This window comes from Homo sapiens, chromosome 5, assembly GCF_000001405.40.
Source record: "Homo sapiens chromosome 5, GRCh38.p14 Primary Assembly".
In the NCBI taxonomy this organism is placed as follows: Eukaryota; Metazoa; Chordata; class Mammalia; order Primates; family Hominidae; genus Homo; species Homo sapiens.
In genome coordinates this window covers 153,940,164-153,953,441 of record NC_000005.10, presented here as the reverse complement: position 1 = coordinate 153,953,441, position 13,278 = coordinate 153,940,164, and the positions used below count along the sequence as shown (strand labels likewise).

Here is a 13,278-nt window from a genome sequence, read left to right as displayed (position 1 = left end):
TTGGAGGCCTCAGAAAAATTTAATCCTGTGTTTCTGATTCATCTTTATTTGAATTCATCTATTTTAAGTTTCAAAGTTATTTTCCTGGCCCCAGCCCTCTGAGCTTTCCTCTAATCTCTCTTCCCTCAGAAACAAGCCATTTTATTTGGATAGATGGAAAGGTTTCCTATCCCTGACCATCATGCCTCTCCCAAGTCCCTTGGAAAAAAAATAAAAAGCCCAAAACAACTCTGGAAATTCTTAAGGACCTTTCAAAATGGAGAGTGCATGTCAGAGGGCTGCAGAGAATGAGAAGAGTGTTCAGGAGAGGAGAATGGAAACAATTAATCGCTCAAAATATGAGGCCTAGGAAGATCTAGAATGATTCATCCTGAAAGATGGCCAAAGAGTGTTTTAACAATTCTGGCAAAAGAACTATTGCTTCCAAGCCTGGGGACCAGTTCCTCCAAGAAGAGAACAGGAAGAAAGAGTGTGAAGCTGCAACATGCAGGAATTAGGTTAGATGTCAGGACAGAGTTCTTGACTGAGACGGTCACTGTGAAGGATTTACAGAAAGGCCCATGGGGTGGTGCTTTGCAGGCAGAGGCTCTACATCTGGCCCTGTTACTTTGAAGGTATGCAACCTTGAGCGAGATACTGACCTTGAGACTCTGTGTCTCTGTCTGAAAAAGTGGAGATGATATACTCACCTCACAGCATTGTCACATGGATTGGATAATTCGTGTCGCATTCTTGGCCCACATGAGCAGCTCAAAACTGGTGGTGCTTAATATGATATTATGATGGTGATCCTGATGGTTATGGCAAGTGATCAAAAAGCATTGGTTCCCATTCCCTTACCCTTACAATCTTGCTGAGGGTGAAGCCCTATGGTTGTAAATGGTGGATAACCAAGGGAGGGGCCATGGCTACCTGGGATGCTTAAAAGAGCTACACTCCTCAGAAACTCCTGGGCACAGACTCTACTTTTCTCCCTCCTAGGGGAAGATGTAGCTTCATTGAGGCTGCAATTGTTTCAAGAACCAGGAGAGTCTAACATCTAGAAATATCCCCTCACAGGGGATTATTAAATACACAGACTATTGGGTAAATCCTTCCTGAATGGTAAGGTGGGCTTGGGTACAAAAGGACTCTACTACTGTAGTCTCTGCTTAGCTGCAGTTTCAATTACCAGTGGTCAACCACAGGCTGAAAATAGAGAGTACAGTATAACAAGATATTTTGAGAGAGTTACCACATTCACACAACTGTTTTACATCATATTGTCATGATTGTTGTAGTTTATTAGTAGCTATTGTTAATCTCTTACTATGTCGAATTTATAAATTCAGCTTTATCATAGGTATGTATGTGTAGAAAAAAACACAGTAAAATATAGGATTTGGTACTATCCACAGTTTTAGACATCCACCGGGGGTCTTGGAATATATTCGTTGCAGGTAAGGGAGGACCACTGCACAGCCAACACTGAACCTTGGAGATAGGGGAGACCATACCTGTGGTGAAGGAAGTCATGGGCAGCTACTGGTTCCCTACTAGGAGACTTGGGGAACATTTGAAAGGTGCTGCCTTGGTTTTTGCCCTGCAAAGGCCACTTTTCTCTGCCTTATGTTTCTGATTTATTTTAGCAAGTAGATGGAAAATGTTAGTAGGTGCTCATGTGTAGTGTCTCTTCCTGCCAATACACAATCCACCTGAAAAATACTGTTCCAATTAGCTACAGAGGGCAGTGTAAGGCAAAGGTTAAAGTGAGCTCTTAAGTGGTAGAGACTGAGTTAGAGAAGGGTGAGATGAGAGGACGCCAGAGTAATCATGGGAAGCTTCCCAAAGGAGTGGGGTTGGTCTGAGTCTCGTAAGGAGAGAGAGCTCTTGGAGAGGCAGAGGTGATGGCGAAGGGCCATTCGGGTGGGGAGACAGCCTGGATCAAGGTTCAAAACTAGGAATGAAAATGGTCAGAAATGAGCATGCAGGTGCCATTTAGGAGAGGAGTGAGAAATGAGGCTAAGTTGCGGACAGCTTATTGAGTTTTTGAAAGTCATGCCCACATGGCATTTGAACTTGGTATCTTAGGCAATGGGGAACTACAGGAGGTTTGAGAAGGGCATGATATGATAAAAATGAGCTATTGGGCAAGACTATATATGGCAAGCTGAATATTTAAGTGCTGTAGCTTCATGGAGTAGAAAATCTACCAAGCCTAGTGAAGAAAATTGGGGGAAAAATTCAATTATAAAAATAATCTATATTCATGATTTAACATTTAGAAAATACAGGAAAGTATAAGAAGAAAAAAATTACCCTTAGTCCTACTACTCGTAGATATTTTTAAGAACTTGGTATAGATTTTCTTTTTCTTATTTATTTTCTTTTACTTAGTTTTTACATATACATATGTAATATGCCTATGTAAATTATATATATTTAACTTTATATATTTAAAAAATATAAGTGCTTTTGCATTATCATGAACTCTTTATAAATATAATATCCAATGTCACATGATATATTACATATATATATATTATTTTTCTTTTCGAGACAGAGTCTCACTCTGTCGCCCAGGCTGGAGTGCAGTGGTACCATCTTGGCTCACTGCAACCTCCGCTTCCCTGGTTCAAGCGATTCTCCTGCTTCAGCCTCCCAAGTAGTTGGGATTACAAGTATGCGCCAACATGCCCAGCTAGTTTTTGTATTTTTAGTAGAGATGGGGTTTCACCATGTTGGCCAGGCTGGTCTCGAACTCCTGGCCTCAAGTATCCACCTGCCTTGGTCTCCCAAAGTGCTGGGATTACAGGCATAAGCCACTGTGCATGGCCATGATATTCTATTGTAAGATACACTAAATCATTCCCTGGTTGATAGATATTTATTTTGTTTAAAAATTTCTGTTTATAATAAACATGATTTGCTAAACATGGCATGTGTGTGTATCTGCATTTAATTTTATTTGTTTTGAAATACTATAAAGTAGAAATATTGCATCAAAGCGTATGAATAAATTAAGGAATTAAATATTTCTAAAAATATTGAAAAATTGCTTTCCAAAAGGGTGGTACCATTTTATATGTCTATGAACAATGTTTGATCATGCTTGTTTAACTACTCCTTACCTGCACTGTGTATTTTAAATTTTAAAAAATATTCACTAAAATTAAAGGCATATTTTAGTTTTCATCTCTTGTAAAGTTGAATATTTTTCCATGTTTGTATGTGATTTAAACTTCTTTAATGAATTGCTAATATATTTTGGCCAATTATTTATATTACAATTATGAAATTTTCTTATTATTGAATGAAATCCTTTTATAATAGTATTTTTAATAGCTATATTTTTCTGATTGTAAGATTTCTCTTTGGAAAAATCAGAAAATGAAGTTGCATTTTAAAAGAGAAAGTCAGTATCAGCCATTATCCAATCACCCATAACCCTTGTTGATATGGTGGTGAATATTCTTTTCTTTCTTTTTTTTTTTTTTCCAAGAGCTGGGGTCTCACTATGTTTCCCAGGCTGGTCTCGAACTCCTGAGTGCAAGCCATCCTCCTGCCTTGGCCTCCCAAAGTGTTGGAATTACAGGTGTGAGCCACCATGCCTGGCCAGGTGGTGAATTTTCTTCAAATACATGCATGTAAATAGGGACATATGTCAAAAAAGAGAAAAATGGGGCCGGGCGCGGTGGCTCACGCCTGTAATCCCAGCACTTTGGGAGGCTGAGGCGGGCGGATAACGAGGTCAGGAGATCGAGACCATCCTGGCTAACACGGTGAAACCCCGTCTCTACTAAAAATACAAAAAAAATTAGCCGGGCATGGTAGCGGGCGCCTGTAGTCCCAGCTACTCGGGAGGCTGAGGCAGGAGAATGGCGTGAACCCGGGAGGCGGAGCTTGCAGTGAGCCAAGACAGCGCCACTGCAGTCCAGCCTGGGCGAAAGAGCGAGACTCCGTCTCAAAAAAAAAAAAAAAAAAAAAAAAAGAGAAAAATGGGGCCCCTATTTTCAAACTATTTTGTAACTGCTTTGTTTCATGTAGTAGATTGTGAACATCTTTTCCATACCAATGAATGTTATATAAACCTATATTATCATCTTTACTATGTGGCTAGTATTTCATCGTATAGGTAGATATACCTAGTTTATCAATTCACGTATTAACTGATGTGTTGAAATGTTTCCATTTTTTCTATTGTAAACGTATCTACAGTGAATATATTGTTGTTGTAACTATATTCCATTGTCTTTCTATTTCCTAAAGAAAACTTCTGAGAAGTAGAAATGCTGGGCCATGGAGTGAACACATTTAATGTTTTGGCATGTATCACCAAACTGCTCTCTGTGAAGTGCGAAGAATCCTCACTTCTGTCCACCACAGTTTTTTTTTTACCTGCATTATATATGTTCTTTTTTTTTTTTTTTGCAAATTTGTCAATGTGATAAGTGAAAAATAAGTTTTATATTTTGATTTACATTTATTTCATTATTGGAGAGATTGATAGGCTTTTAACTTACCAATTACCTGTACCTATTTTGTATTTCCTTGTCCCTATATGATCCAATTTTCCCTTGGGGATGTTTATACTGAGATATTTATCTTTTTTTTTGTATGTTTTTATTTTCAAATATAGCAGTAGTGACTAAACTTTGTATAGCAGAGTTCAAGTTATAGATGGATTTTCTATATATCATCTTAATTATACAGCAGCTTTTTAAATTATTATTATACTTTAAGTTTTAGGGTACATATGCACAACGTGCAGGTTTGTTACATATGTATACATGTGCCATGTTGGTGTGCTGCACCCATTAACTCGTCATTTAACATTAGGTATATCTCCTAATGCTATCCTTCCCGCCTCCCCCCACCCCACAATAGGCCCGGTGTGTGATGTTCCCCTTCCTGTGTCCGTGTGTTCTCATTGTTCAATTCCCACCTATGAGTGAGAACATGCGGTGTTTGGTTTTTCATCCTTGCGATAGTTTGCTGAGAATGATGGTTTCCAGCTTCATCCATGTCCCTACAAAGGACATGAACTCATCATTTTTTATGGCTGCATAGTATTCCATGGTGTATATGTGCCACATTTTCTTAATCCATTCTATCATTGTTGGACATTTCGGTTGGTTCCAAGTCTTTGCTATTGTGAATAGTGCCACAATAAACATACGTGTGCATGTGTCTTTATAGCAGCATGATTTATAATCCTTTGGGTATATACCCAGTATTGGGATGGCTGGGTCAAATGATATTTCTAGTTCTAGATCCCTGAGGAATCCCTGATATGGCCACCTTGCAGTTTGATCGTAGACTGCTGTGCTAGCAATGAGTGAGGCTCCGTGGGCGTAGGACCCTCTGAGCCATGTGCGGGATTTAATCTCCTGGTGTGCTGTTTGATAAGCCCATTGGAAAAGCACAGTATTAGGGTGGGAGTGACCCGGTTTTCCAGGTGCCGTCTGTCACCCCTTTCTTTGACTAGGAAAGGGAGTTCCCTGACCCCTTGCACTTCCTGGGTGAGGCAATGCCTAGCCCTGCTTCAGCTCACACACGGTGCACCGCACCCACTGTCTTGCACCCACTGTCCGGCACTCCCCCGTGAGATGAACCTGGTACCTCAGTTGGAAATGCAAAAATCACCCGTCTTCTGCGTCGCTCATGCTGGGTGCTGTAGACTGGAGCTGTTCCTATTCGGCCATCTTGGCTCCACCCCCTATACAGCAGCTTTGTAAAGAGCAATATTTATCTTTTTATATGACCTCCATATATTTTTATTTTCTCTCCTTTTTTTTTTGAGACAGAGTGTTGCTCTATCATCCAGGCTGGAGTGCAGTGGCATGATCTCGGCTCAGTGCAACCTCTACCTCCCCAGTTCAAGTGATTCTCCTGCCTCAGCCCCCTGAGTAGCTGGAATTACAGGTGCCTGCCACCACGGCCAGCTAATTTTTGTATTTTTAGTAGAGATGGGGTTTCACCATGTTGGCCAGGCTGATCTCAATCTCCTGACCTCAAGTGACCCGAAAGTGTAGGGATTACAGATGTGAGCCGCCTCACCTGGCCTGTTTTTCTTTTTAAATAGTCAATTCTATCAGTTTTTATCTCTATTAATATTTACTTTGATTTTATGATTAGAGATTATGATTAGATTTTATGATTAGAGATTTTATGATTAGAGATTCGGCCAAGATGGCCGAATAGGAACAGATGATAGTTTTTGAATTACCTTTTTGAAATATAGGGAGAACATAGATTAGTTGAAAGAATGAGGAAGGCTGATAATTTGGAAAAAATGGTAAAACAATCATACTGTAAACAGAACCCAGCAGAAGATTAGTTTAAGTTTTTCCTGACTTTTAGTTTTTCTTTTTGTTAAGTGTCACCTTCATTCTCCTGGGCAATAGACATAAATATAATATTTTCTTCATTGCATATATTTAATGGGGCAACAATTCTTTCAATGTCTTCTGTTGAAACATATCTTGGATTTGAATTTTCTTTCCTATTTTTTCCTATATCTTGTGGTTCTGGATTACTGCCGCATTGTGTGTGCATGTGTGTGTGTGTGTGTGTGTGTGTGTGTGTGTGTGTTTGTACACATAGATCTGGGAAGGCAGACCTTTGGTCACCTTACTGACTACTGCATCCCAGCACCCCAAAAAGATCCTGAAACAAAGCAAGTGCTCAGCGGACATCTTGCAGAATAAATTGATGGATTAGTAGAACAGGATGGGTGATTTTGCTGCTTTGCCCATCAGTGACTGCACTCTCAGGAAGAAGTCAATCTGTCTTCTATCCATCTGGCTATCCATGTTTTATTCATGGGTGTCTGAAATTCCTTGTGAAAAGAGGCAGGTTAAAAAAATAAAGTATTTGCAGTACTAGCTGATATTATAGAAACTGACTTGAATTGGATCAAGTAAAAGGGGGGAAATTATTAAGGATATAGCTTGTTTTGATGGAGACTGCAGGCAGAAATGCAGCTGGACTCTCGGAAGGGGCTAAAATGAAGATGATGAGATTTTTCATTCTCCTTACTTTTGTCCCTTTCTGAATATCTGTTTGATGTGGTTTGTCTGTGTCCCCATTCAAAACTCAACTTGAATTGTATCTCCCAGAATTCCCACTTGTTGTGGGACGGACCTAGGTAATGGAATCATGGGGGCTGATCTTTCCCATGCTATTCTCATGAAAGTGAATGAGTCTTATGAGATCTGATGGGTTTATCAGGGGTTTCTGCTTTTGCTTCTTCCTCATTTTCTCTTGCTGCTGAGATGTAAGAAGTGCCTTTCACCTCCTGCCATGATTCTGAGGCCTCCCCAGCCATGTGGAATTGTAAGTCCAATTAAACCTCTTTTTCTTCCCAGTCTTGGATATGTCTTTATCTGCAGCAAGAAAACAGACTAATACAGTAAATTGGTACCAGTGGAGTGGGGCATTGCTGAAAAGATACCCAAAAATGTGGAAGCAACTTTGGAACTGGGTAACAGGCAGTGGTTGGAACAGTTTGGAGGGCTCAGAAGAAGACAGGAAAATGTGGGAAAGTTTGGAACCTCTTAGAGATTTGTTGAATGGCTTTGACAAAAATGATGATAATGATATGAACAATAAGGTCCAGGATGAGGTGGTCTCAGAGGGACATGAGGAACTTGTTGGGAATTGCACCAAAGGTGACTCTTTTGTTATGGTTTAGCAAAGAGGCTGGTGGCATTTTGCCCCTGCCCTAGACATCTGTGGAACTTTGAACTTGAGGGAGATTATTCAGGGTATCTGGTGAAAGAAATTTCTAACCAGAAAAGCATTCAAGAGGTGACTTAGGTACTGTTAAAGGCATTCAGTTTAAAAGGAAAACAGAGCATAAAGTTTGGAAAATTTGCAGCCTGATGATGCAGTAGAAAAGAAAAACCCATTTTTTGAGAAGAAATTCAAGCTGCTGCAGAAATTTGCAAAAGTAGCAAGGAGCCTAATGTTAATCCCCAAGACCACGGGGAAAATGTCTCCAGGCCACGTCAGAGACCTTCACAAAAGTCCCTACCATTATAGGCATAGAGGCACAGGAGGAAAAAGTGGTTTCGTGGGCCAGGCCCAGGGTCCCTGTGCTGTGTGCAGCCTAGGAATTTGGTGTCCTGTGTCTCAGCCGCTCCAGCCATGGCAGAAAGGGGCCAACAAACAGCTTAGGCTGTGGCTTCAGAGGGTGGTGAGCCCCAAACCTTGGCAGCAGTGGTGTAGAGCCTGCAAGTGCACAGAAGTCAAGAATTGAGGTTTGAGAACCTCTGCCTAGATTTCAGAAGATGTATGGAAATGCCTGGATGCCCAGGCAAAAGTTTGCTGCAGGGGTGGAGCCCTCATGGAGACCCTCTGCTAGGGGAGTGTGGAAGGAAAACGTGAGGTTGGAGCCCCCACACAGAGTCCCTACTGGGGCACTGCCTAAGTGGAGCTGTGAGAAGAGGGCCACCATCCTCAAGCCCCAGAATGGCAGATCCACCAACACTTGCACTGTACCCCTGAATAAGCCACAGATACTCAATGCTAGCCCATGAAAACAGCCAGGAGGGAGGTACTCTGCACAGCCACGGGGGCGGAGCTGCCCAGGATATGAGTCAAAGAAGATCACTTTGGAGCTTTAAAATTTGACTGCCCTGCTGGATTTCAGACTTGCATGGGCCCTGTAGCCCCTTTGTTTTGGCCAATTTCTTCCATTTGGAATGGCTGTATTTACCCAATACCTGTACCCTCATGGTATTTAGGAAGTAATTAGCTGCTGTTGATTTACAGGCCCATAGGCAGAAAGGACTTGCCTTGTGTCAGATGAGACTTTGGACCATGGACTTTGGGGTTAATGCTGAAATGAGTTAAGACTTTGGGGACCTGTTGGGAAGGCATGATTGGTTTTGAAATATAAGGACATGAAATTTGGAGGGGCCAGGGGCAGAATGATATAGTTTGGCTGTGTCCCTATTCAAATCTCAACTTGAATTATGTCTCCCAGAATTCCCATGTGTTGTGGGAGGGACCCGGGGGAGGTAATGGAATCATGAGGGCTTGTCTTTCCCATGCTATTCTCGTGATAGCGAATAAGTCTCATGAGATCTGATGGGTTTATCAGGGGTTTCTGCTTTTGCTTCTTTCTCATTTTCTTTTGTTGCCATGATGTAAGCAGTGTCTTTCACCTGCCATGATTCTGAGGCCTCCCGAGCCGTGTGGAACTGTAAGTCCAATTAAACCTCTTTTTCTTCCCAGTCTTGGGTATGTCTTTATCAGCAGCATGAAAACGGACTAATACACTGTTCTTGTCTATTATTTTTTATTAACCTTAAACACCACTTTTCTCCTCTTAGATCACAGGGATTCCAGAATACAGCCATGTTACAGCTCTTGAATTTGTATCTACCCCATTGAAGAGACTAGCCTAGACTGAACAAGAATCTCTCAGCCTCATTTCCACATTCTCCAAAGAAAGGTCCAGGCAACTGTGACTTAGGGGCAGACAGGGTCATGTTGTATAAGTGTGGCTTGTGGAGCTAGTGGGCTGAGGAATTCAGAGGACCTTGGGTAGCTTTGCAGACACCTATCATTAGCCTGACTTTGGGGTGGGTGGAACAGGCTGTCTTTATCAGGTAAGCTCTATTGCACTTTCTTCCTTAGAATATCCTATCTGGGTTCAATTCATTTTGGTCAACGATTTTATAAGAATACCTAGAAGAGAGCAAATGTTTGCAGGACTAATGGAATTCCAAGGAAATAGGACTATATGGGAAACTTTGAAACTGACTCTAACACCTGAACTTTGGATATCGTGGCAATTTTTATTTTATTTTTATTTTTTCTTTATTTTATTTCATTTATTTATTTTTAAATTATGCTTTAAGTTCTAGGGTACATGTGCACAACATTCAGGTTTGTTACATAGATATACATGTGCCATGTTGGTTTGCTGCACCCATTAACTTGTCATTTACATTAGGTATTCCTCCTAATGCTATCCCAACCCCTGTGCCCCACCCTATGATAGGCTCCCGTGTGTGATGTTCCCCGCCCTGTGTACAAGTGTTCTCATTATTCAGTTCCCACCTATGGGTGAGAACGTGTGGTGTTTGGTTTTCTGTCCTTGTGATAGTTTGCTCAGAATGATGGTTTCCAGCTTCATCCATGTCCCTGCAAAGGACATGAACTCATCATTTTTTATGGCTGCATAGTATTCCATGGTGTATATGTGCCACATTTTCTTAATCCAGTCTATCATTGATGGACATTTTGGTTGGTTCCAAGTTTTTGCTATTGTGAATAGTGCCGCAATAAACATATGTATGCATGTGTCTTTACAGTAGCATGATTTATAATCCTTTGGGTATATACCCAGTAATGGGATCACTAGGTCAAATGGTATTTCTAGATGTAGATCCTTGAGGAATTGCCACACTGTGTTCCACAATGGTTGAACTAGTTTACACTCCCACCAACAGTGTAAAAGCATTCCTATTTCTCCACATCCTCTCCAGCATCTGTTGTTTCCTGACTTTTTAATGATCACAATTTTAACTGGTGTGAGATGGTATTTCACTGTGGTTTTGATTTGCATTTCTCTGATGACCAGTGATGATGAGCATTTTTTCATATGTCTGTTGGCTGCATAAATGTCTTCTTTTGAGAAGTTCTTTGCCCACTTTTTGATGGGGTTGTTTTTTTTTTCCTTATAAATTTGTTTAAGTTCTTTGTAGATTCTTGATATTAGCCCTTTGTCAGATGGGTAGATTGCAAAAATGTTCTCCCATTCTGTAGGTTGCCTGTTCATTCCAAAGGTAGTTTCTTTTGCTGTGCAGAAGCTCTTTAGTTTAATTAGATCCCATTTGTCTATTTTGGCTTTTGTAGTGGCAATTTTTATTAAGGACATACCTCTTTGCTCTGTTTACCTTAATTCTTCTCCCTCCAGCTAGGGCTGCCACATTTTACGTGTGTCTAGGGTTATGTATTTTCCATGCAATGTTGAGGACACACTTACACTAAAAAATTATTTATTGTTTATCTGGAATTTCAATTTAACTGGTATCCAGTATTTTATCTGGTAACTGTATCCCCAGCCCCATTAATTATAAGTGGAGAGGAAGGTTTGAATAAATTGAAATATGTTAATCATACTTTTTGAGGTTCTAGTGTTTTGGCACCCCTCAATTAAACTAATGTGCTTGGAGCATTAAATTATAAATCACTTGTTGCCTTGGTGCATATTGCTGGAAGGCAGGAGTGGTGGTAATGCAAAAAAGGCAGTAATAATCAGAACTGAGACTGAACATTTCCATGTACCCATTTCTACCTAAAGCCTAAACAAACCAACCCTCAGAAACCTCACTTGGTTATGTCTAGTATTTTAACATCAGAGATTTATTCCCTTGACTGGAAGTTTTCTGTATCCTGGTAAGATGAACAAATTCCTAGAAAGAAGAGTAACAAGTGTCATCAGGCATTTCACAGCTTATCAGAGTCTCCCTATGAACAAATGGTACAGTTTCAATTGCTTTCTCCCCCACCCACAAACCAGTCAAAACTAACTGCTTTTCCTCCTACATTTCCATAAGTTTATTCATTTTACAAATCTATATTGAGCATGTGCTATGTTACTGAAGTTTTGCTAGGCACTAAGTAAAGAATAATGCCCAAGACATTCCTGCTTCAGCTCTGAGAGTCCTCAGCATTTTACATTATAGTGGGTATTTTTTGCCTACCCACAGGCCAAGGCCTTCTTGAACTGGAGACTCTGCTTTGCTCACCTCTGTACCCTTGGCTTCTAGCATAGCATCTCATACAGCTGCCAAATTGATACCTGGTGCTTGAAGAGTTTAAGACAAAGAGGTTCCAGAAAGTGTAACTGGATGGCCTGAAGATACTTTTTTTTTTTGCCTTGTTGGAAACAAGAGCTCAGAGTCACAAGAAAAAGGAGCACTCAAACAAAGGATTTCTCAGCAAGGCAAATTTACTTCTGCAGAAGGGTGCCACTCGCACTTCTGGCCGCTGTGAGGGCACACCAAACAAAGGAGGGAAGGGGTTTTTATGCCTAATGCAGTTAGTCCCTGCTTCTGTGTCCTGTCCCCATTGGCTGGAGTTGGACTGCACAATCTAAACTGACCTGATTGGCTACTGTTTAAAATTGAGTATGGCTAATTAGGCGAGAAGGGAGAGGCTGTCCTTTACAGTACAAGGCATGTTTGGGCATGTCAGGGTGTGGCAAATGTGGGAAGGGTGGTTTCGGTGGGAAAATCTCTTTTGGTGGGAGGGGCAGTTTACAGAATGGGTAGCTAGGAGTAAAAGAGGACTCTTTCCAAATAAGGAAGAGATGTGAGTTACAGATTGCGACTGGTGGGAGAAGTTGTTTACAGAGCAGGTAGCTTAGGAGAAGGGACAAGGAAGTTAATCTCAAAACAAAGAACAAGGGAGTCAGAAATTAAACCTTTGAAGAGGAACTTACTGTATCTGACAGCCCCATTCACGAATTCCTGATAGGTTGACCTTTTCCAGGGAGTTGGCTGCCAATCAATCCCAAATCTGAGCCCATAGTTCCTCTATGTGTTCAGGGAGATGCTGAATTTCCTTGCTTATAGTAGTGTTCTAGTGCTGTGGACAATAAAGTGTGTGTGCATGTGCATGTGGGTGGGGGGAGGTATACACTGTCAATGAAAAGAGTAAAACTCTATGAAATCTTTGAAGAGATTTATTCTGAGCCAGATATGAGTGAGCATGGCTCATGACACCACCCTCAGGAGGTCCTGTGACCAAGGTGGTTGGGGTGTAGCTTGGTTGCATTTTAGGGAGACAGGAGATTTCAGTCAAATACACTTAAGATGTACATTGGTTCAGTCCAGAAAGGCAGGACAACTCAGAGGTAGGGGGACTTTCAGGTTATAGGTAGATTTAAGATTTTCTGGTTGACAATTGGTTGAGTTTAAAGACCTGGGTTCAATAGAAAGGAATTGTCTGGGTTGTGATAAGAGATTGTAGAAACCAAAGTTTTATCATGCAGATGAAGCCTCCAGGTAGCAGGCTTTAGAGAGAATAGATGGTAAATGCTTCTTATCAGACTTAAGGTCTGTGTTGATTTTAATGTAGGAGAGGTATAATGAAGTCTGTCTGACCCATACTTCCTGTCATGGCCTGAACCAGTCTCTCAGGTTAAATTTTAAGAGTGCCCTGGCCAAAGAGGAAGTCCATTCAGATGGTTGTGGGGCCTTAGAAGTTTATTTTTGGTTTACAACAGAAGCAAAGTGAAGAGTTTCTAGGGGGAAAAAGCGATTATTTTCAATGCAA

The 13,278-nt window shown here is 41.0% G+C and overlaps 1 annotated feature.

Annotated features, from left to right (window-relative positions):
- Positions 11,691 to 12,890: an enhancer, noted in NCBI's record as "MED14-independent group 3 enhancer chr5:153320112-153321311 (GRCh37/hg19 assembly coordinates)". NCBI's record gives its function as "activates an origin of replication core promoter dependent on BRD2, BRD4, P300/CBP and CDK7 cofactors, and independent of MED14, by STARR-seq in HCT116 cells {active_cell/tissue: HCT116}" and the evidence as "EXISTENCE:reporter gene assay evidence [ECO:0000049][PMID:35650434]".